Genomic DNA, 24,273 nt, shown 5'->3' on the forward strand with positions numbered 1-24,273 from the left:
ACTGCTTGAGTGTCTTCACAACATGGTAGCTGGCTTCCTTGAGAACAAGTGATCCAAGACAGCCAGCAGCATCTTTGGATTCATTTTCTTGTCAGCAGTGGGGTGTAGTGCTCTAGCTGTGAATTCAGACAACCTGATGCTGACACTAGCTATGTGGCATTAACTTGTTTGAACATTACTTTCCTTAGCTATAACTTTGAGACAATAATACCTACCTTATAGGCCCTTTAACATAGGACCTTTGTAGCAATGCAGGGAACTAGAATAGTCTCTGACACTTAGTGAGTACACATGACAAACACTGAACCTGCTGGTGTTACTATTATTACCACCATCACTGGTATGAAATGAAGCCCTAAAACCTAGTAATTAAGTTGCCCTTGACAGAAATAGCCTTCCTTCCTATTTGTCAAAAATTGCCATGACAGAAATATTGTTTACAGATTGCAGATATATCCCAAGTATGGTAGAAGGTTAAGGGTTAGAGAATTATAACCACACCTGTTTGACTATATATATATATATGCAGGGGATCTTTCATGCCGAATCTGTATTCATGTAGATTTTAGTATAGGATATGTGTCATGTAATGTGACCCAGGAAGAAGCCAAGACCCCCGCCTTCCCCTGGCCATCTTTTTTTGCTTTTGCTTTTGCTTTTTTTTTGAGACGGAGTCTCGCTCTGTCACCAGGCTGGAGTGCAGTGGCATGATCTCAGCTCACTGCAACCTCCACCTCCCGGGTTCAAGCAATTCTCCTGCCTCAGCCTCCCGAGTAGCTGGGATTACAGGTGCGTACCAACACGCCCAGCTAATTTTTGTGTTTTTAGTAGAGACAGGGTTTCACCATGTTGGCCAGGATGGTCTTGATCTCTTGAGCTTGTGATCCGCTTGCCTCGGCCTCCAAAAGTGCTGGGATTACTGGTGTGAGCCACAGTGCCTGGCCTTTCTTTTTCTTTTCTTTTTTAAAGATGGGGTCTCACTGTGTTGCCCAGGCTGATCTCAAACGCCTGAGCTCAAGCGACCTGACCACCTTGGCCTCCCAAAATTGCCCAGGCTGATCTCAAACGCCTGAGCTCAAGCGACCTGACCACCTTGGCCTCCCAAAGTGTTGGGATTACAGGTGTGAGTCACTGCACCTGGCTACCACCACCCACAATCTTTTAACTTTTTATTTTAAAATGTAGATTCACAGGAAGTTATAATGAAAAATGTACAGGGAGGTCCGTTGGACCCTTCACTCAATTTGCCCCAGTGGTACCATTTTGTGTAACTATAGTATGGTATCAGTTGTCAACCTTCGATTTTTATTTAGCAGAAATTGACTGAGCAGCTATTATATGCTAGCTCTTTGAGGTATAAAGGATTAAACTCTGACCTTATGGGTTTCTGTCATCTCTCTGGATTTTCATTGTTATTGTTCTTAAAATATTTTTTATTTTGGCGACTCATTGTTGACACTTATATTAGCAGTTATTTTAATGTTAAATATTATGTTATTTCTGACATTTATATTTGCTCTGTTTTAAAACAATTTTGCATTGTGTCCCCATCTTCCATTTATAATCTTTACAGCATCAGAACCATGTTGCCTGCATTGTCTTATTTTAATCACGTGCCAGTTTTGCAGTGCTACCAAGTCTGGATCTGAGAGGCAGCTTGTGTGAATCATTTACATACATTTCTGTTTATATTCCCCAAATTAATTTGCAACTTTATATTTTTCATCCAATTATATGTTCAAAACATATTTTTAATAATTGATTTTAAGAAGGAATTTGTTATATTAGGATTTAAAAACTGGCTCAAAAAACAGAAGCTATTAAACAATAGCAGAAACCAGACAGTATATAGGACTTTAAATGGTAATTGCTAAACATTTGAATGTTCCCAAAAATGTGAGTCTGTGTGTCTCTGTGTGTCTCTACGTGTTATTCCACTAGGGATTTGCACAGATAGGTTTTGCACAATATCCTTGCTGTTATTGTCAGCCATAAACAAATTACACGTATTTAACAAGTTAATGTCAGATTGGCCAGGAGCCACTGGGAGGTGTGTACTTAGTGACATCAGCTGGCAAAGAGCCCTGGTAACAGGGAGGGTTGGAAGGGTAGTGGAGAGAGAGGAAGCAGGAGGGAGGGAGAAAAAGAGAGAGACTGACTGTATCTGGGGATTCTGGCAAGGTGAAGAGCTGGTCTGTTTGGCAGGACCTTCCCATCTGGGATCCATCTGTGTTTCCCTGGAATGGGACAGGCAGCTCTAGTCAGTGAGAAATCGCAGATGTGAGAGAGCTGACACATGTCCAGCTAATGAAAGGAGGAGGAAGGCTGGTCTCCGATTGAGCTTTGAAGATTAGGAGGAGAAAAAGAGGAGCTTTGGAATATCTATTTCAAATAAATTTGGTGTATTTAAGAATCTGGATTGTTTATAATTTGGGCATTTGGGGTAAGTACATTTTAATATAGTTTTGGGGGTTAAAGTGCACAATTCTCTGCCTTTCAAAGCTTTTTACTTCTTTCAAATTACGATGATATGAATGTTTCTTGGTATTTGATACAAGAGTTCAGCCTTTCTACTCAGTTTTATTTTAATGCTTCATTTTATTTATGTTTCTATTTTTCTGTTGCCAACCTTATATTTGAATGTCATGCTTTTTTGAATGCAAGGTTTACTTAATAATTAGATGTAGTATATGAATTCTACAGCTAGAAAAGTAGTCCCACAAATATTTCTGTAAGGTTTTCCACGTTGGATTGTTCTGTGATGTTTAGAGGGAATTTTTTTCCCCTTTAGTATGCATAATACAAATAGGCCATATTAAAAAGATGGCTCATAAAACGCTCTTTTCTATTGTCAGATTTTATTTCAGTATATGCAGGCAAATTATAACTAAAAGAGGTTGAAGCAAAACTAACAGCATCTCTTCGTTTTAGATATATCTAACAGTTTTTCATTTACATTTTGCTCCTATGCTGTTTTCTTCTGTTTTCTTGCTACATATAAAATAAATAACATCAATGAATCTGACTTGAATTGTGAGTTTGGGGTAGTTTTGTGATGCAATAAATTCATGTGCATATAACTACGTACTGTGTTCTGTAGTCCTGGTTAGTTTGTGATGCCTATTTTAGATTTTTGCTATTTCTTATATATAAGAAATAGAGATGGGTCTCACTGTGTTGCCCAGACTAGTCTCTTAAACTTCTAGGCTCAAGTGATCCTTCTGCCTCAGCTTCCCAAAGTGTTGGGATTGCAGGCATGAGCCACTGCACCTGGCCACTTTTTACTGTTTCCATACATTGTATTCATGTTTTTGAGGCCTTCGAATCTAGGCTTCCTTTCCATGTTCTATGGAAAGAACATGAGTTTGGGAGTTACACAAACTGTGTACCCATTATTTACTAGTTCTGTAATCTCAAGCAAGCCACTGTTCTCTTTGAATCTCTATTTTGTGTAATTCCTGACTGATGTTGTTATTGGGGAAATTTGTCTGGCACATAGAAAGCATACAAGTTGGTTTCAAGAGTTCTAGATGTTCACTTTTTTTGCTGCGATAGATTCCTAAACCCCTTGCATTTTTAACTTCAGCTCCTGGGCAAGAATGGGTCTGGCCTGTAGTTCTAGTTTTCAGGGCGCCCTTCCTCTTGCTGTACTCGTCTCAGATTGTCTGCATCTATTCTAAATGTTCTATGCTATATTTGCCAAACTATACCAGAACAGAAGAACTTTGAAAAAGTCAACAAGCAGGAGTGAGGTACTGAATTGTACTGCTTTGTGACGACACTGTTGAAATTGTTCCCCCCACTCCGCGACCTCCCGCTGGAAAATTGTTTTTCCCCCGTGTATTACAAGTCACGCAAAAATTCTACCATTTCTCAAATAGAAACTTTAAAAAATATTTTTATTCCTTAAAGTTCTTCAGCCTTTATTTATATTAATTGGGTAATTAAGTGGACAGTATAGTACTCTTCAATTTCTTCCTTCAATTTTATAGTCAGATTTCTTGAGGTGGAGGGGACTTTTTTCTTTTTCTTTCTTTTTTTTTTTTTTCCGAGATGGAGTCTCACTCTGTCGCGCAGGTGGAGTGCAGTGGCGCGGTCTCGGCTCACTGCAACCTCCACCTCCCGGGTTCAAGCTATTCTGCCTCAGCCTCCCAAGTAGCTGGGAGTATAGGCGTGCCACCATGCCTGGCTAATTTTTGTATTTTTAGTAGAGACGGGTTTTACCATGTTGGTCAGGCTGGTCTTGAACTCCTGAACTTGTGATCCGCCTGCCTCAGCCTCCCAAAGTGCTGGGATTAAAGGAGTGAGCCACCGCGCCTGGCCCTCTTTTTTTCTTTTCTCTTTTCTTTTCTTTCTTTTTTTTGGGACATGGTCTCAAACTCTGTTGATCAGGCTAGCATGCAGAAGCATGATCATGGCTCACTACAGCCTTCACTCTTCCGGACTTCAGTGATCCTCCCACCCTGGCCTCCTGAGTAGCTGGGACCACAGGCACGCACCACCACGCCCAGCTAATTTTGGTAGTTTTTATACAGGTGGGGTTTTGCCATGTTGCCCAGGCTTGTCTCAAACTCCTGACCTCAAGCAATAGAGCCACCTCGACCTCCCAAAGTGGTGGGATTGCAGGCATGAGCCACCACGCTGACTTGAAGGAGACTTTTAAAATGGAACTTTTCCCAAGTTTTCTTTTCTTTTCTTTTCTTTTTGAGACGGAGTCTCGCTCTGTCACCCAGGCTGGAGTGCAGCGGCGCGATCTCGACTGACTGCAAGCTCCACCTCCCCGGTTCATGCTATTCTCCTGCCTCAGCCTCCAGAGTAGCTGGGACTACAGGCACCCGCCACCACACCCGGCTAATTTTTTGTATTTTTAGTAGAGACGGTGTTTCACCGTGTTAGCCAGGATGGTCTCGATCTCCTGACCTCATGATCTGCCCGCCTTGGCCTCCCAAAGTGCTGGGATTGTAGGTGTGAGCCACTGCGCCCGGCTCCAAGTTTTCTTTTATACCAAATTGACTAAAATGATTTTGTAAAAATTTGGGGGCATCTCTTTTGATAGGTGCATTGTTCAACAAGCATCTTTGGGACTTTTCTGAATACTTGAGAGGATATAGTGTTTATACTGAATTCACATGGTACTCCTTCAGTGAGAAAACACTTTCCATTGTAGCCTAGGAGACATGAGTGGGGAGAAAAGGACTTAATGCTTTTCTGTAGGATAGGGCCTACTATAGAGGGCCTGAAAAGGGGATTTCATATGACTATGTCCATGCTAGGAATACTTTGGATGCTAGAGTTTCAGGAAACATAATAAATAAGAAAAAATATGCATTTTAGGATGTGAAGATTCACTCACTGTAAATAAAGTTGGGTGATTAAAAGTCTTGCTAGGACCAGACATTTCAGGAGAGTATTGCTTGCTACTGAGGTTATAACCAAGATACATTTGAGTTGAATACTGGAGAAAATCATGATTCTTTCTGAAGATTATGGAAGCATCATGAGAATCTTACTACTAGGAGGAAATTCTCCTAAATTGGCTTCCAGTAATGACCCAAGCATATTTTCATAGCGAGGGTCCTTGTTGGACTGGAGGCACATAATGCAATAATGCCAATAAACTGGAGATGAGGATAATGACATTTAAGTGGCTTTGCGGGAACATCAAAAAATACATTTGAGTGAACGAATGTATTTAATACACAACTGGAAAAATTCAGTTGGATCCGAAAGATTGGTTGGGTCAGTTCATTGATGGTTATTCTAAGGCTACTCAGTGCTCATAAGTTCCCAGAGATGACCTATGGACAATATTAGGGTTGGAAAGGATCCTTTGGATAATCTAGTCAAACACATTATTTTATAGATAAAATAGGAAAGTTGAGGGAAAGATAATGGGATGGCAAATAGTCTCCCCAGCCCAGAGTTCAATATCCTCCTGGTTGCTGGCTGAGCTTAGACTAGAATTATGTTGAGTTTCCAGGACACCCATTTTACGAATGTTATTTTGAATTGCCTGTTGTATGTGATAATATGGTAAGGGATTTTTTTTAAAAGGTGAAATCTCATAGAGGAGATAAAGTGTACAAAAAGTGGCTGGGCGCCAGTAGCTCACACCTGTAATCCCAGCACTTTGGGAGACCGAAGTGAGCGGATTACTTGAAGTCAGGAGTTCGAGACAAGCCTGGCCAACGTGGCGAAACCCCATCTCTACTAAAAATACAAAAATTAGCCGGGCGTGGTGACATGTGCCTGTAATCCCAGCTACTCAGGAGGCTGAGGCAGGAGAATCAATTGAACCTGGGAGGCGGAAGTTGCAGGGAGCTGAGATCATGCCACTGTACTCCAGCTTGGGCAACAGAGCAAGACTCAGTCTCAAAAAAAAAAAAAGTACAAAAGTAGTAAGTCCTGAAAATTAGCACCAACTGTAGGAATCAGAGAACCTTCCTAAAGGAGGTCGCGTTTGATCAGAATTTAGAAGGACAGGAAGGATTTGGACTTCTCATGTTTGGAAGGAGCATAGTGGCAGGATGGAAAGGTTCCCTTTCTTCTAGAGCCTTAAATTAAACTTTATTAAATGCATAATTACATAGTATTCATTTCTACCATGTTTTGAAGTATGTCTAGCTGTTGCTGTCTTTCCAAATCCAAGATCAGTTGTTTACTTCTGAGATACTTACCTTTATGCATGCATAGCCGTCTTTTATATGTGTGATTTATATACCAGGAAGCTGTGATTTAAAAGATTGCTACCATGATGGACTCTGTGGATTGTTTAATTTTCCCTCCAAGTTCAAGTCAGTAAATAAAGGAATTAGTGGTGGTTGTATCTTGCAGAAAAACAACATATTATAACTGGTGTTTGTATTTTCACTGGCTGATGGACTTTCCAAACAGCATTTGACTTTTGAGAACTATATGATGACACAGATTGATACTGGGGAATTTAAAATGCATATGGATTTAATTTTCCTAAAGCATGCCAAAACCTGAAAAAGCAACTCTTTGTGTTTTGTTTAAAGCAACAGCTCGTGGAAATCCTGTTATCGTTCAATCCTCAGCAGTTTGTTATAGATGCCTGGCAAGGTGGGATGCAGTTCTGTATATGTATACATATTATCTGCAGTTGTCTCTCGTAGCTGGAGCTCTGCAGTAAATGGAGTGTGTACAGTAGTCTCCCCTTAGTCGAAGTTTCGCTTTCCAGGGTTTCAGTTACCTGTGGTACAGTACGCTAAGACATTCTGAGAGAGAGACCACATTCACATAACTTTTATTACAGTATATTGTTATAATTGTTATAATGTTTTATTCTTGTTAATCTCTTACTGTGCCTACTTTGTAAATTAAACTTTTTTTTTTTTTTTTTAATTTGAGACGGAGCTTCACTCTTGTTGCCCAGGCTGGAGTGCAGTGGCGTGATCTCGGCTCACTGCAACCTCCGCCTCTCAGGTTCAAGCAATTCTCCTGTCTCAGCCTCCCAAGTAGCTGGGATTACAGGCATGTGCCACCACGCCCAGTTAATTTTTTGTATTTTTAGTAGAGATGGGGTTTCACCATGTTGGCCAGGCAGGTTTCGAACGCCTGACCTCAGGTGATCTACCCGCTTCGGCCTCCCAAAGTGCTGGGATTACAGGCATGAGCCACCACGCCCAGCCTGTAAATTAAACTTTATCGTAGGTATGTATGTATAGGAGAAAACATAGTATATATAGGGTTTGGTACTGTCTGGGGTTTCAGGCATCCGCTGGGGGTCTTGGAACGCATCTCCTTCAGACAAGGCGGGGACTATTGTATTTTCATTTGATTGTGGTAGTTTGGACAGATGGAGAGAAGACGGTGAAAGATTGTGTGTGGGTTTTGACATTAGGCTGTGTAACCATAAGCTGATTTAACCTTCACCTCTAAGCCTCAGTTTTCTCAGCTGTAAAATGGGAATAAAAATGAGTTCTAAGGATTTAATTAGAAAGAAATTAGCATGATACTTCCTGCATCAGCACTCAATAAGATTTCTCTTTCCATGTGATTTTTCCCAGTCCCCCAAAAACATTGAAGTCACAATAACTAAAAGATTTACTTAAAATGGGAGTCTTGGATATTTTTACTGTCTCACTTGAGACTGACAGGGAACCCAGTTCCCTAACTAATTCTAAGTCATGGGAGAAGGGTGCGTGTAGAGAATGCTGTAGAGAATGCGGCAGTCTTTAAAAACTCAAACCTGTTGCTGTGTGGCAAGCTGTTAACATTTAGGGACCTTGCACCACTTACTCTGCTGGAAGAGCTGGGGGATGGGCTGCTTTGAGGGTGACAGATGTGTCCTCTGCTGCCGGCGGGCGCGTGCCTGCTCTGTCCCTCTGCTCCCAGCACCAGGTGCAGCCATTGTTCTGGCTGGTCTCTCTTCATCCGGCCTCGTCTGTTACTCTGCTCTTTCTAGCTCATTGTTTCTGTAGGAAATTAGCATTAAAAACCCATCTGAAACCCCCATGTCCCTCAACTGCAGGTGACTGTTATTGGCCCCAGCTGCCACCCTTGCGCTTGATTACTTCCATATGGGTCTATGCAAAGAAGTAGTAGCCATTTATTGATTTCCACCACAACCCCAACCTCTATTACTCAAACTATAATACCCTGAAATCTATTAGACCCCCAGTAGGCTGTATAGCTCAGTTGGCGCTACAACTGTGATGAACATTTTACAAGCAAAACTAATTACACCCTTTTCCCCACCCCCATCACCTCCTCCCTAAATATTAAATGTAGAAACACCAGAGTGTCATAAGTGGAATAGTAAATCTTTTAAATGTCTGGAAATGAATCTGTTTCTGAGTAGTAAAGCTTTTAGACTTTGGATGGGATTTTATGGAAAATTTTAGTCACTGCTTTAATATTTCATGCCACACCCATAATATTCAAGCAAATCGTGGCCCAGTGCCCCTAGGGTGGGGGTAGGGCACACAAAAATTTTCATCACTTGCTTTTTGGTTTGTTAAATTTAATCCAGTGGGCAGTATGTTAGGAAAGGGGCCTAGTTTAAAAGGATAATATGTTTTGTGGGAGAAAACAACATGCAGTCATTGTTAAATGCTTTAATTTTGCATTATTTTGTTGTTTGTTCTCTGTGTTTACACAAATAATTGTTCTAGTTTACTCATTAGAATAAATACCACAATGAGAAGGTCGATGTTTTAGACTTCTTTCTTCCTTCATCAGTAAACAAACTTAAGTGTTCCACTTTGGTTATTGTTCTAAATCAAGATTGTAATCTCAAACAGGTAATAAGTTCTCAGCTTCAAACTCTAGATAGAATTTCAAGGACAATCCAAAGTTGTTATTGACTCCTGATGAATTGTATTGTGACCTTGACAAAGTCACTGCCCTGTCAGTGAAGGGTATTCTGGTAGCCTTTACAAGTCAATAGCCCAGGAAATCAAGGGGGAGGTCATTGACTTTTGCCTGTTGAGAGTTTAGCAGTGTAACCCAGTTTTAAAGTAAAATCTTGAGTTTACAGCATTTTAAATTAAATTATTTAATAATTTGGAAAATTTAAAGTAACAATTTCAATGTTTTAAGCTTAGCTGCATAGAGCTTTTATCATAAGGAACATAGGGCCATTTCTGTTGGAAGAAATGTCTTTTTGGCTTTCTTTCTTTATATTCTATTTATTTTGGAGTTTAAAAAGGTACTAAAGCCAGGCCCTATGGTGTGTGCCTCTTGTCTCAGGTACTCAGAAGCCTGAGGCAAGAGGATTACTTGAGCCCAGTCATTCAAGACAAGCCTGGGCAACATGGCCAGACCTGTAATCCCAGCAGTTTGGGAGGCCAAGGCGGGCGATCACCTGAAGTCAGGAGTTGGAGACTAGCCTATCCAAAATGGTGAAGCCCCATCTTTACTAAAAATACAAAGAAACTAGCCAGGTGTGGTGGCACATGCCTGTAATCCCAGCTACTGGGGAGGCTGAGGCAGGAGAATCACTTGAACCCAGGAGGCAGAGTTTGCAGGGAGCCGAGATCATGCCACTGCACTCCAGCCTGGGTGACAAGAGCGAGACTCCATCTCAAAAACAAACAAACAAAAAAAGATACTAGAATTTGAAAAGCCCCTGGCAGCCAACATTTTACGTGACAGCTCCTATGAAGGCAAGCCTCTAGGTAGAGCAATGTGATTATATTTAGAATAGGTTAGGAGTTGTAGTATTTGAAGAGTTTTTTTCAGAGCTTTTTAATCTGCTCCTTCGTTTTAAGCAGTGGAGAAATTGAAAGGTAGGGAAGTCAGTAAAGGGGAAGAGTTGAGATTTGAAACAGAGCCTTCTCTGACTCCAAATTAAGTGTACTTTGATTTGAAGTTTGGAGCTAGTACATGTTGGGAATGTTGATCAGTATTGCTATAGATATTGTCGTCTTGAGGTGAGTACATGTGCTGTTAACCCTTCTTTCTGGTACTTAGGAAGAATGGGGGTTTCCTTCTGTGGCCTTACTGATTCTTTCATTCTGTCATTGTACATACTGAGAAACAAAGTTAAATAGTAAAAGGAGTTTGCAGTCTAATGTGAGACTCATTTTCTTTTCATCTGTTTTAATTTTATTAAGTTGTCCTCTCTCATTCCTAGGGCTAATGCCACAATGAAACTGGAAATAAGTTTTCTTGCACTGTGAATGTGAACTGAGGTTTCCACAAGCAAACTGTGCTTCTGTCTCCCCAAGTAGAGAAGCATGGCAAATAACCACAAGTGCTTTGTCGGGGCCCCAGGCTTCTCACTTACCTTTCCCCAGTCCTGGCTCTGTTCTTCATGTCTAAAGTAAGGGAGGACAACAGACTTGGTGTGTGTGTGACTGACCTTCTAGAAATGTTAACTTCCATCTTTATCTTGGAGAATGAATTGAAGTGTTTCCCTGCCTTTCCATCCAAGGGAACCATCTCTAACAACAAATCTTTTTAAGTGGGTCTGGAGGGGGGACAGAGAATTGGTGATTTGTCTTGGTAATTATGTTGTTTTTTGGAGTCAGTTTCAAACACTTCAGTAAAAATGTTTAAGGCTCTTCAACTTTTTTGGTTTGTTTCATTTTAATGTACTACTTTATTCTATTTTCTCACATTTTGTACGCACAAATCAATAGATACTCTTAATTGAATAAGTGAAAATAGTGGGTGAGTTTAAAGATAGATGTTTCGTTTTCCTTATTTTGATGATTACTTTTAAAATTTTAATGTGTACTTGACATAAAATCTAATGTCAATTCATATATCCATTTTTTTCTTTAAGTACAGAAGTCTTAGAACACTTCAAATTCAGTAACTTTTTCAATATATTACCGCTGTCTAGGATTTTGTTTCCATTTTGTTTGTTACACTCCCAGCCAAAATAATAGTTACCATTATTTTTAAAGCTATTAATTTCGATTTACCAATATATTTATTGAATTATCTGGTCACTTTGCATATTTATCACAATTTTCCTTCTAGGTTAATAATTCATTCCTGCCAAGTGTATCTGTTAATAATTCTTGGAGAATCTGTAAGTAGTACACTCTTTTTGCTGATCTGAAGATATCTTTATTTCACCTTTACTTGAATGATAGTTAAATGTGGTTAGAGTGTAAAGGTTGACAGTTATTTTCCATTAGCACTTGGGAGTGGTGATTTCTTTTCTTGTGTTTTGTTTGTTTGTTTGGTTTGTTTGGTTTTTGAGATGGAGTCTCGCTCTGTCGCCCAGGCTGGAGTGCAGTGGCACAATCCCGGCTCACCATAACCTCCGCCTCCCAGGTTCAAACGATTCTGCTGCCTCAGCCTCCAGAGTAGCTGGGACTACAGGCGCCTGCCACCACGGGCCTGGCTAATTTTTGCATTGTTACTAGAGACGGGGTTTTGCCATGTTGGCCAGGCTGGTCTTGAACTCCTGACTTCAGGTGATCTGCCAACCTTGTTTATATGAGGAAGTCCCTCATAAATTTTAGAATAATATCTGTAAAGATGGTGGTAGGGTATTAATGTTAATAATTTTGGTAATTATACTGGGCTTATAAGTAAACATCCTAACTCTTAGCATTTACACACTGAAATATTTAAGCATAAGGGAGTGTAATGTTTCCAGCTTGCTCTCAAGTGGTTTAGATAAAAATATAGGTAGATAGAGAAAAAGAAAGTGATTTTTATAAATGGATGAATTAATTGGTGAATTTAGCTAAATGATATTAACAGAATTATTTGAATAGTCTTGCAAATAAAAATGTTTCTAAATTTGAATAAAAGAAAGTACTGAGCCCATTAACAAAAAAATATGTATATGAAATTAAGTGTTAATTTAGGACTCTCTGAAGAAGTAAATTGAGCTGTGTGCTGAATAACAATAATGAAATAGTCGGTGGATGTCAGTGATAAGAATATTCCAGTGCAAAGGCTCAATGATGGGAATGAACTCAGTATGTTCAAAGAATAGAAAAATGGCCGATGTAGATATAATGTAGTGGACGAAGAGAAGAGGGTAGAGAGACAGGAGACAGAAGTTCATGTAGAGCTTTTAAAGCCAGCATAAAGCTTTGTAATCCAATGAATTTGGATTTCATTCTGAGTGATGGGTAACCATTGAATAGTTGGGGCAGTAATGTGATCTGATTTATATTGTATAAAGATCATTCTTCCTGTCATATAGAGAAAGAATTTTATAGGGCATGGCTGGAAGCAGCAAGACCAGAAGTGAAAAGTGACAAGTTTGGCCCAGCTTTATGGCAGTGAATATAGTAGAGGACAGATGATTTGTTATATTTTAGAGGAAGTTAAGTTTTCTGAACTTGTTGATAGATTGAATGTTGAGAGGGAGAGGGGTGTTTTCAAATAATTGTCAAATCTGTCTTCCTTATTATTCATCCATTCATTTGAATATTTAGGTGCCTACTGTGTGCTAGGCATTATTCTAGGTATTGGAGTTACATCAATGAGTAAAGCAAAGCCCCTGCCCTCATGGAGATTAAATTCTAGTAGAAGAGACAGGCAGTAAAGATGATTAATAAGTAATATATATGTAGCCTAAAATGTATGTTTATGTATATTTAGGATGTTTTTTAATGTTACAAAAAATGAAAGCGCTAAGGAGAAAGGGAAAGGGTTTAAGGAGATCCAGGTTAGTTTGAGGAGGGTAGTCAAGGAGGATCCTCACTGAAAGGTGATTATTTTAAGAATGCAAAGAGATGATGGATGTAAGTGTTCAGTACTGTATGTGACACATTGTTTCTCAGTTTTTGAGTACTACTTCTTCTTCTTCTTCTTTTTTTTTTTCTTTTGAGATGGAGTCTCGCTCTATCGCCCAGGCTGAAGTGCAGTGGCGTGATCTTAGCTCACTGCAACCTCTGCCTCCTGGGTTCAAGCAATTCTACTGCCTCAGCCTCCCAAGTGGCTGGGACTACAGGCGTGCACTACCATGCCTGGCTAATTTTTATATTTTTAATAGAGATAGGGTTTTACCATATTTGCCAGGCTGGCCTCGAACTCCTGACCTCGTGATCCGCCCACCTCAGCCTCCCAAAGTGCTAGGATTACAGGCTTGAGCCACCACACCCGGCCCTATTATTATTATTATTTTGACACAGGGTCTTAACTCTTCACCCAGGCTGGAGTGCAGTGGTGCCATCATGGCTCACTGCAGCCTTGACTTCATGGGCTCAGGTAGTTGTCCCACCTCAGCCTCCCGAATAGCTAGGACTAGAGGCATTTGCCACCATACCTGGCTAATTTTTCTTATTTTTTTTTTTTTGTAGAGGTGGGGTTTTGCCATGTTGCCCAGGTGGGTCTCAAACTCCTGGGCTAAAGCGATCTTCCCATGTTGGCTGCCCAAAGTGCTGGGATTACAGGCAAGAGCCACCATACCAGTTCCTGTCTAGATATTATGATGAAGATTGAGGATGGTAGTTTTTGTGGAGCACAATCCTGACTGTACCTGTGATGTTGCATTCATCTTTTGGAACATAAGCAGATCACCAGGTGAATGGCTAAAGAATCTGGAATAAGCTTGAAAGAAATACAGGTCCTGGCAAGGCAATGGAAAGGTATGTGTGAAACATTCATTTCTAATAGAGGACTAATTTAATAACAGAAATATACTCTTCCCTAGAAACAATTTGCTTTAAAGGCCAGGCATGGTGGCTCACGCCTGTAATCCCAGCACTTTGGGAGGCCAAGGCGGGTGGATCACCTGAGGTTGGGAGTTCCAGACCAGCCTGACCAACATGGAGAAACCCCGTCTCTACTAAAAATACAGAATTAGCCAGGCGTGGTGGCACATGCCTGTAATCCCAGCTACTCGGGTGGCTGAGGCAGGAGAATGGCTTGAACCCGGGAGGCAGAGGTTGCAGTGAGCCGAGATTGTGCCATTGCACTCCAGCCTGGGAAACGAGTGAAACTCCATCTCAAAAAAACAAACAAACAAAAACTCTTATAAAAAGTTGTTTTCTTTTTAAGCAGGGAAGCCTGACTTCATTGGCATTTTGAGATGGAGGCTTCTGGGCAAAAGAAGAATTTCATGGGGGTATTTTGAGATGAGTATGATCAATCTAGTCAAGAGATGGGGAAGGTCTAAGCTTTGTCTCTTGTAGGTGGAATGGAGAAGGGCAAAGGGTTTGAATTTTGGTTGTGTGGTGTGAAGAATGATTGGTCTTAAAACAGATTTAAAATGAAAAGATTAAACTGATCAATGTTTTTTATGCTTTTAAAAAATGTGGCTGATAAAGCGTTTTTGTGCTTTTAAAGGGAGCCTGGATGAATAGGCTTTGGTACTGTATGTATTGTATTAAACATTTGGAGTGGCAAAATAATTTCTAAAATATTTCTAGCAACTTCATTTTCATTTTATCTGCAGGATGAAAAAGTAAATTTGGGGATTGTTGATTAAATTAGCAAACCATATGGTTGTTTGCGCAGACTGACTGCTATGCGAGGTAGCTGTGTTATTTTTCTTTCAGGATATGCTGTTGTATCTGATGCCAGTGTTCTGAAACACTTATTTTCTAGTCAACAGTAGGTGAAGCAATTATTTCTAGTCATTATGGTTTTTCTTGATGCCTTAATTAATGTCACAATTTGTGAATGCTTTACCCTGCTGTTTAAAATTAGTTTAATATTTTAAAAGATTAAATCTTCACATTTATGTAATGCTTCCCAACCTCTTTTCACATCATAGCATACATAGAAAGTATTAAGTTCTGATTGGCTGTCCCAGGCTGAGGAAATCATTATCTCAGTAAACTGATAATCATTCTTCATAACTCTCTGGCGTTGGTCCCTGGCACACAGCTTGGGAAGTTCTGTCTTAATAGAAAAGATATAGAAACCTTTCTGTACTGTATTGCAGTTAGTTAAGAGGAATTAGGAAAGAGTTATAGAGTCTTTCTTAATAGGGTTTTTTTTTTCCTTTTTCGCTAGAAGCCTAAATCTCACCAAATTATCGGGTGTTATACTAGGAACTATGGTTATAAGAGTGAAGAGCTCAAGGAACTCACAGACAGACAGGCACAGAAACAAATCACCTGTGGCACAATATGACAAATGACATCACAGAGGTGTTTATTTTTATTTTTATTTTTTGAGACAGAGTCTCAGTCTGTCGCCCAGGCTGGAGTGCAGTGGCGCGATCTCAGCTCACTGCAAGCTCCACCTCCCGGGTTCACACCACTCTCCTGCCTCAGCCTCCCGAGTAGCTGGGACTACAGGCGCCAGCCACCACGCCTGGCTAATTTTTTTTTTTTTAATGTATTTTTAGTAGAGACGGGGTTTCACCATGTTAGCCAGGATGGCCTCGATCTCCTGATCTCGTGATCCGCCCACCTTGGCCTCCCAAAGTGTTGGGATTACAGGCGTGAGCCACCGCGCCTGGCCTAAGAGGTGTTTATAAGAAGCTGTAAGAGTCCAAATGTGGGAGGTTTTATTTCTGTCAAGGTGCACTTGAGTCTACCAGGGAGGACTTGGAGTTAGACCTTAAAGTAGGAGTTTCTAAAGTGCCAGAGACAGGGAAAGCAGGGCATTGCAGGTGGAGAGCACAACCTGTTTTATAGGCTTTCTGCCTCCTTAATATCTAGCAGAGGTCTCATCTTAATATAAAAGTAGATACTGGAACTTAGGAGTTTGCTCTGATGGCAGACATGGATACTTGCCCTGCCAGAGTGCCCATCTACCTTCCATTTATGTTGTTTGGATTCAGTCTCCACTATACTATAGCCTTATATTTGCATGGTGCTTTTAATTTTCAAAGCTTTTTATCCAAATAACAGCCCCTCAGGGATAGGAAATAAAAGCCAGCTGGTAGTGTTTTTATTTTTATAGAGGAGAAAACTGAGACATCACCATCATATCAGCATTTCATTTCCCAGATAAGAAGGTCTTTTTTTCATCTCTTGATTGCAAAGGGTGCTGCCCAACAGGAATAACCTCTCCCAATTTTCTGGGCACAGCCCAGAGTGCTGACTGAGGCAGCCACCAGGAGGGCGCCAGCAAGGCAGACAGCATGGCTGCTGATCACAGAGCTAACAGCTCGACATCTGCAGGCTGCAGCTGTACATTTTTGCTACAGCACATCCGTATTTCTGCTCACACTTGTGAAGAATCACAGAGTTTGGAAGAATATGAGTTAAACCGTTCCAAGTGTATAAGTGTGCTCCATCTCTGGGAGTTTTATTCTGTACTGGGTGGAGTGGTCTATGAGATCTTATAGCTGCTACTTTTCTCTGTTTATTTATTGCCATATTTAGTCCATCTTCCCTGTCCTAATTTTAGTTCAATGCCAAAAAAAGATGGAGCACTCCATAATAGATGAATTGAGAGGGTGCTGATTGTGTCACTGAAATGTTTGCCAAAGAAATTGTTTTTCTAGCTGATTTTGTTCTGCCTCCATCTTTCAGTCTATTTGGAAAACACAGTAGAGTACCTGGTTATCTTTCAGAGTGTCATTGTTAAATAATCATTTCAGTAAGCAGTGATGGCTGTTGATCATTTTAGACTTGTGCCTATACTAAGTATTTATCCATTTTTCTAATATACCTGGATTTTTAAAAATATTGATGGATAAAAACTTTCTGGATTGTTGATTTTGAGGAGGTATACCAAGAAGAGAAGGGTGATCTTGGTGTGGAGCCAACATCTTTGAAATCTTGGCTTATTTGTTCTTACTCCTTAAGGCACCCCATTGCCACTCCTTAAGCCCATGTATTTGACAGTGGGGCTTTTTGTCAGAAGCCTCTCTGATTGTCATTTGGGGACTTAAATGGGCTCCTACATAACAGCTTCTATGCTTCAATTTTCTAACTTGTCCAGGGTGTGCTTCAGCTGTAGACTGTGTATTTACGTTCATATATTTGTGAAGAAAGACAGGAACTATATAGTAGAATGTGAAGTCTCTCTGAACTGTAATCAATGTGTTTTATTAAATTCTTGGTCACAATGTGCAAACTTCATTGAGTCCTACAATAATTAATTCTTTTTGCATTATTTATTTTGCTATAGTATGGTCTCTGGAGCTCAGCAGAGCTGCCATTTCTTAGCCATATGACTTGGGACATAATTTTTGACTTCTCTGAGCCTTAGCTTCTGGTTAAATAAAGTGGTATTGGAGATGGTACCTTCTACTGTCTTAGTGTCATTTAAATAAGAAAATATTTTAGCACCATTCTTTGCGTGTAATAAATATTTTGTTATTTCTAAATGAATATATGAAGATGGAGAGTAATGGTAGCTATTACTATTATAGTTATTTCCTGACTTGTATTTATCCTTCCCAGCAAGAAAGTCTTGTCCTACTCAAATCTTGGGTAAATATGAAACTTGCTTCATTATCAGTGTGGATTGAGAAGGTGTGTACGGTGTTCCTGGGCATCTGAAGAAAGGCTTTTAAATCAGCTTTCCTTTGTGGTCAGTTGGTCACAAATAACATCAAAATATCAATTGTTAATATTCATATTTATTTTTTCCTTTACAGCTGACTACTTTAGTATTGGTACACCTAATTAAAATTTTTCCACCTCTAAAATTTTTTCTAGGGCAATTTATATATGATTGAATTAATTTACATTGAGTATTAGTTTCCTTGGTTTTTAAAAATAGATCCCCCCAAAATGGTAAGGAGTTGAGAAGTTAAGGCTGTGAGCAAATAGAGAATTTGGGCCTAAAGTTTAATGTGGAAATGAGAAGATGATTTCAATTGATTTGTAGAAAGAACCATAATGAAGGGAATTTTCTTAAGTAAACTTATGTTTGTACCCATTTGCTACTATTTTTCTCTTAGAGCTTTTAGCACTTTCTCCCTGTCATAAGGTTGTAGAGTTGCCATACTCTGAGGTGTCCCACAAGGCTAGCACAACAGCCCTCTGCTTGTGGTGCATACAGCTATCATCCAAAGGGGCCAACCACATGACATGGCAGTGTATTTCCAGATGTCATTCTCTCTGTTTGGATGACTTGGGAGCTTAAGAAGGGTATTTTCTCTTGAATAGGAGAAAAATTGTTACTTTGGCATAAGGCCCACTCTGGCACCATTCCCACATCTGTTATTGATTAGAAGTGAATGCTGGTCAGTCAGGATGCAAGAGTGCTGGTCCGATTATCAAGCTCAGCCTTCAGGATGAAATACTGCAGGAAATCTGAAGGATGGCATAAACTGGCTCTACACAGTCTTTAAAAAGACCCTTTCATAAGCTATTGTACAAAGACCTGGTGTAAAGAAATAGCCTGAGTGATGTCTACATGTTAAGAAGATGCCGTAACATGTACATGTAGGATCTATTCTTAGAGGGGAGCAGTGGAATGGGTGGTGGAATCCTTATGCAATGATTTTTAAAATATATAATAAACATGCACAGATACTAAGTGTTCAACCCAATGAGTGCCTTTTTGGTTTTTTTGGGGGTTTTTTTTTGTTTTTTTTTTTTTTTAAGGAAAGCGTCTCCTTCTGTCGCCCAGGCTGGAGTGCTGTGATTACAGACATAAACCACCATGCCTGGTCTATTCATGTTTTTAATTTTTAAATTTTTATTCAATTTTTTTTAAAATTTAGCGATGGGGTCTCACTGTATTGCCCAGGCTGGTCTCAAACTTCTGGGCTCAAGCAGTCCTCCAGTCTCAGCCTCCCAAAGCATTGGGAATACATACGTAAGCCACTGCACCCAGCCTGTTCATTTTCTTAATGGTGTCTTTTGATGGGCAGAAAACTTTAATTTTCGTGAAGTCTAACTTAGCAGTCTTAAAAATTTTATGGTTTGTGCTTTTTTGCTTACCACCAGGTCATAAGGATATTCTCCTATTCTTTTTGTAGAAATTTTATGGTCCGGGGTATTATTTTACAACCCATCACGAATCTTTTTTTTTTTTTTTTTGTATGGAGTGAGAGAGGATTGAGGTTAATTTGTATCTATTTGGACATCGAGTTCCAGCAATATTTGCTAAATAGACTTTTCTTTCCCCATTGAGTTGAGTTGACACCTTTATTGAAACTCACTTTGTGTTTGGTGGTTCGTCCTCCAACCCTGTCCTTCTTTTTTGAGATTGCTTTAGCTCTTTGGTGTCCTGAACATATTATACAGACATCTTGGTACATCTTGGTGTCTCTCTCTCTCTCTCTCTTTTTTTTTTTTTTGAGACGGAGTTTCTCTCTTGTTGCCCAGGCTGGAGTGCAATGGCACGGTCTCGGCTCACCGCAACCTCTGCCTCCCATGTTCAAGCAATTCTCCTGCCTCAGCTTCCTGCATAGCTGGGATTAGAGGCATGCACCACCATGTCTGACTAATTTTGTATTTTTTTTAGTAGAGACGGGGTTTCTCCATGTTGGTCAGGCTGGTCTCGAACTCCTGACCTTAGGTGATCCATCCGCCTCGGCCTCCCAAAGTGCTAGGATTATGGGTGTGAGCCACTGCGCCTGGCCTCTTTTTTCTTTTTTTAATCTAATGCAGAGATATTCTTGAATTTTAAAAACTTTTACAAAATTGGGAATATACATTTTAGGCGTGTAAATTTTTAAATTTTAAGTCCTAACTGTATTTTAACGTTGGTAGCCTATTATTATCAAAACATAGTCATTCTGTGTAACGCAGTAAGAAATATCTAATAGTTGGTTTTACTTAATAAACTTTACTAAATAAAGCCAGTATGTACTATGTACTATGTTCTGGCCACTGGACTTGGCACTTGGAATATGGTGGTGATCAAGATGAACGTGGCCCCAACTCTCCAGAGGCTTACAACCTAAGAGGCCGAAATTGGCCTCTTCTGAAACAAAAATAGACAAATGATGCATTTCAGGCCTTGTGATGTGAACAGAAATTTTTTTATATTCTTCATTACGCAGCAGCTGATAGCAGCATCACAATTTGATAGGGGCCAGGCACGGTGGTTCATGCCTATAATTCAGCACTTTGGGAGGCCCAGGTGGGCAGATCACTTGGGTCCAGCAATTCGAGACCAGCCTGTGCAGTGTGGCAATACCCTGTCTCTACAAAATACACAAAAAATTAGCCAGGCGTGGTGGTATGTGCCTGTAGTCCCAGGCTACCTAGGAGGCCAAGGTGGGAGAATCACCCTGAGCCCAAGAGGTTGAGACTGCAGTGAGCAGAGATCACACCACTGTATTCCAGCCTGGGTAATGGAATGAGCCCCTGTCTTTTATTTATTTATTTATTTTTAAAAAGGCAGACTCCATTTGGGTAGGATGTATGTGCAGTATACAGATAACATTGCTGTTTGTTTTTGAATGAAAATGTTTCCTGAAGCCATAGCATGAGTATTGGAATGAGTATATATGTCTGCCCTCCCTTCCCCTCCCTTGCCCTCCCCTCCCCGTCCTGTCCATCCATCCCGTCCCTCCTTCTTTCCTTCTTTCTTTCCTGTCTTGAGACAGAGTTTCACTCTGTCACCCAGGCTGGAGTGCAGTGGCGTGATCTCGGTGCACTGAAACCTCCACCTCCCATGTTCAAGTGATTCTCCTGCCTCAGCCTCCTGCTGGGATTACAGGCACACGCCACCACACCTGGCTAATTTTTGTATTTTTAGTAGAGATGGGGTTTCACCATGTTGATCAGGTGGGTCTCAAACTCATGATCTTGTGATCCACCTGCCTTGGCCTCCCAAAGTGCTGGAATGACAGGCATGAGCCACCAGGCCCAGCCATGTCTGTCATTTTCTTTGTTAACCTAATTTCTAAAGATTACTCATCTTTTAAACTTCTTTGAAACAAGTTGTTTCATACCTGTGATTTGTACTGTAACTCAAGGTTTTTTGTTTTTTGTTCTTTGTGTGTGTGTGTGTGTGTGTCTGTGTGTTTGTCGTCTTTGTTGTTGTTTTGTTTTGTTTGAATCCTGGGGAACCAGAGGTGTTAGCCTATGTTTTAAAACTCACATTTGGCAATGGTATCAACAGCTGTCACACTGAATAATTGTCATGTCATTATAAGGGTTTCTGTTGCTCACTAATCTGTAGGTATAAATCTGGATTTTAACCACATGTGATTGGTAAAAATTAGTTCTTGTGAGAGATTCTATGCTGTGTAGGCCATCTGTTCCCTATTCTCAAACCCAGAATGAAAAGTTAGCCTTAGAATTTGCAAATCAGTGAACTAAGAGGTATGTTATAATAGGAAGATGGGCTGACTGAAGTCTCTGGAGCTAAGCTGGGACCTGTATGTGGGCACTGCTGGCAGAAACATAAGTGTGTGTGGATAAACTCTTCATTAGTGGAAAGGAATCTTAGTTTTCGGCTGATTTTCAGTGGTGGGCATGACCCCAAACAGAATCTGAGATGATGTAATAATCATCTGTGATTTGATTGTACTTATAAGATTCAGCTAAATCTTCCCTTTTTTGTCCCAGTCTACTTGAGATGTACCTTCCTTGAACCCTTATTGCCCAGCTACATCATGAACTCCTTGAAGGTTGGAATATCAGCTTCAAGTTTGTGTCCCAAACACTTAGTACAGTGCTTGGGTCATGTTAGCCTTTTGATGATGTTGATCAAATGAATCAGCAGCCGGGCGCGGTGGCTCACGCCTGTAATCTCAGCACTTTGGGAGGCTGAGGTGGGTGGATCGTCTGAGGTCAGGCGAGACCAGCCTGGCCAACATGGTGAGACCCCATCTCTACTAAAAATACAAAATTAGCTGGGTGTGGTGGCACATTCCTGTAATCCCAGCTACTTGGGAGGCTGAGGCAGGATAATCACTTGAACCTGGGAGGCAGAGGTTGCAGTGAGCCGAGACCACGCCATTGCACTCCAGCCTGGGCAACAAGAGCGAAACTCTATCTCAAAAAAAATGAATCAGCAAGGTAACTTCTTGCATTAGGAATGACAGCACAGGCCGGGCGCGGTGGCGTACACCTGTAATCCCAGCACTTTGGGAGGCTGAGGCAGGAAGATCACTTGAGGCCAGGAGTTCAAGACCAGCTTGGCCAGCATGGCAAAACCCCATCTCTACTATGCCGGGTGCGGTGACTCACACCTGTAATCCCAGCATTTTGGGAAGCCAAGGCAGGCGGATCACTTGAGGTCAGGAATTCGAGACTAGCCTGGCCAACATGGCAAAACCCCATCTCTACTAAAAATACAAACATTAGCCAGGTGTGGTAGCACGTGCCTGTAATCCCAGCTACTCAGGAGCCTGAGGCAGGAGAATCACTTGAACCCAGGAGGTGGATGTTGCAGTGAACGAAGATCGCACCACTGCACTCCAGCCTGGATGACAGAGCAAGACAGTCTAAAAAAAAAAAAAGAGGAAAGACAGCACTACCTTTTATTAAACAACTTCTTTCTTTCCCCATATTCCCTTCTAGTTTTTTCTTATACATGTGCATACTCTTTCCATTTTATTTTCGTGAGTATACATTATATCCAGCTCTTTCCTTTTACATTATATCAAGACCTTTTCTGTGTTGCTATATATTTATCTGTCATTATTTCAGTGGAGAAGTAGACCCAGAATGTGCATTGTTTTTATTAATATCACATGCCATTGTTTCCATTAGATTGTGTTACCATCTAACTATCCTTTGTACAAGAACACTATTGTATCGATTTGAAAAATCAACTGAAAAATCAGTTGTTTTAGTAGTCATTACTACAAAGTTGTAGGTACATGATAATTGACCTTTTCCCAGGGCCAAAGGCCAAGTCCCAAGCCATAACCTTGCCTGGATTTCATTTTCTTTATCTGGGTAGACTGAGTATATGACTTTATAGTTTAAAGTTCTTTGACTAATCGTTAACCTTATTTGGGGAGATGAAATGATTTTTATGAACCAGTAATTTGAATATAATGTATGATGAAGTTTTGGGGCTTTTTTTCCCTTTAAATTAAATAATTTAGTAAAATTTTAAAAAATTATCTTGTTTCCAAAAACGGATAATTACATATAATTGAAAATGAATTATTTGTTGAATTGGATATATTTAAGTTCTTAAGTCAACTTGTTTGGATTTAGATGGTGACCCAAGTCTACCAGCACTGCATTTAGTAACCATTTCATTAGACAGATGCTGTCTACAGGGTGTGCTGTTATATTATGCATTCATCCTCAGTACTTGACTGTCCTCTGGGAGGCCAAGTGTCTCAAAATCCTGTAAGCACTTTCCTGTACCCCTTCTCATACCAACCATGCCACACTGTGAACTTGCTGTGTATTTTTCCTTCTTGATTGCATACCTTCACCATTGTCATTTGGTTTAAGTGATTTTATTTATTTATTTATTTATTTGTTTGTTTGTTTGTTTGTTTATTTATTTATTTGAGACAGAATCTTGCTTTGTTCCCTAGGCTGGAGTGCGGTGGTATGATCTTGGCTCACTGAGACCTCTGCCTCCCAGGTTCAAGTGATTCTCCTTCCTCAGCCTCCTGAGTAGCTGGGACTACAGGTGCCTGCCACTACACTCAGCTAACTTTTTGTATTTTTAGTAGAGATGAGGTTTTGCCATGTTGTCCAGGCTGGTCTTGAACTCCTGACCTCAGGTGATCCACTTGCCTCAGCCTCCCAAAGTGCTGGGATTACAGGCGTGAGCCACCATGCTGGCCAGATTAAGTGACTTTTTTTTTTCTTTTTTTTTTTTTGAGACAGAGTCTCACTCTGTCGCCCAGGCTGGAATACAGTGATGCGATCTTGGCTCACTGCAAGCTCCACCTCCCAGGTTCACACCATTCTCCTACCTCAGCCTCCCAAGTAGGTGGGACTACAGGCGCCTGGCTAATTTTTTTGGTATTTTTAGTAGAGACGGGGTTTCACCATGTGTTTGCCAGGATGGTCTCAATCTCCTGACCTCCTGAACTGCCCG

At 40.5% G+C, this 24,273-nt stretch overlaps 1 protein-coding gene across 3 annotated transcripts in view, besides 6 other annotated features; it reads left to right on the top strand.

The window, feature by feature from the left end:
* CBFA2T2 (CBFA2/RUNX1 partner transcriptional co-repressor 2) overlaps positions 1-24,273 on the top strand; it is a 159,935-nt gene that overhangs the window by 70,136 nt on the left and 65,526 nt on the right. The window contains exons 1-2 of one of the 3 annotated variants that reach the window (NM_005093.4): positions 2,111-2,443; positions 13,743-14,030. The exons of 1 other annotated variant lie outside the window; for it this stretch is intronic. In NM_005093.4, coding sequence (NP_005084.1) covers positions 13,970-14,030 — 61 coding nt within the window. In that variant the 5' untranslated portion in view covers positions 2,111-2,443; positions 13,743-13,969. Of the gene's footprint in view, positions 1-2,110; positions 2,444-13,742; positions 14,031-24,273 lie in introns of those variants that run through there. One more of the 3 variants, NM_001039709.2, reaches the window with a different exon arrangement.
* Positions 1,932-2,226: an enhancer, noted in NCBI's record as "tiled region #10659; HepG2 Activating DNase matched - State 5:Enh". NCBI's record gives its function as "activates a minimal TATA promoter and a strong SV40 promoter by Sharpr-MPRA in HepG2 cells {active_cell/tissue: HepG2}" and the evidence as "EXISTENCE:reporter gene assay evidence [ECO:0000049][PMID:27701403]".
* Positions 7,964-8,890: an enhancer, noted in NCBI's record as "OCT4-NANOG-H3K27ac-H3K4me1 hESC enhancer chr20:32156001-32156927 (GRCh37/hg19 assembly coordinates)". NCBI's record gives its function as "activates a minimal SCP1, AML or CMV promoter by ChIP-STARR-seq in primed H9 embryonic stem cells {active_cell/tissue: H9 hESC(primed)}" and the evidence as "EXISTENCE:reporter gene assay evidence [ECO:0000049][PMID:30033119]".
* Positions 8,143-8,202: an enhancer, noted in NCBI's record as "active region_17736". NCBI's record gives its function as "activates an Ori minimal core promoter by ATAC-STARR-seq in GM12878 lymphoblastoid cells {active_cell/tissue: GM12878}" and the evidence as "EXISTENCE:reporter gene assay evidence [ECO:0000049][PMID:35858748]".
* Positions 21,016-21,515: an enhancer, noted in NCBI's record as "H3K4me1 hESC enhancer chr20:32169053-32169552 (GRCh37/hg19 assembly coordinates)". NCBI's record gives its function as "activates a minimal SCP1, AML or CMV promoter by ChIP-STARR-seq in primed H9 embryonic stem cells {active_cell/tissue: H9 hESC(primed)}" and the evidence as "EXISTENCE:reporter gene assay evidence [ECO:0000049][PMID:30033119]".
* Positions 21,753-22,337: an enhancer, noted in NCBI's record as "H3K27ac-H3K4me1 hESC enhancer chr20:32169790-32170374 (GRCh37/hg19 assembly coordinates)". NCBI's record gives its function as "activates a minimal SCP1, AML or CMV promoter by ChIP-STARR-seq in primed H9 embryonic stem cells {active_cell/tissue: H9 hESC(primed)}" and the evidence as "EXISTENCE:reporter gene assay evidence [ECO:0000049][PMID:30033119]".
* Positions 22,338-22,921: an enhancer, noted in NCBI's record as "H3K27ac-H3K4me1 hESC enhancer chr20:32170375-32170958 (GRCh37/hg19 assembly coordinates)". NCBI's record gives its function as "activates a minimal SCP1, AML or CMV promoter by ChIP-STARR-seq in primed H9 embryonic stem cells {active_cell/tissue: H9 hESC(primed)}" and the evidence as "EXISTENCE:reporter gene assay evidence [ECO:0000049][PMID:30033119]".

This window comes from Homo sapiens, chromosome 20, assembly GCF_000001405.40.
Source record: "Homo sapiens chromosome 20, GRCh38.p14 Primary Assembly".
Lineage (NCBI taxonomy): Eukaryota > Metazoa > Chordata > Mammalia > Primates > Hominidae > Homo > Homo sapiens.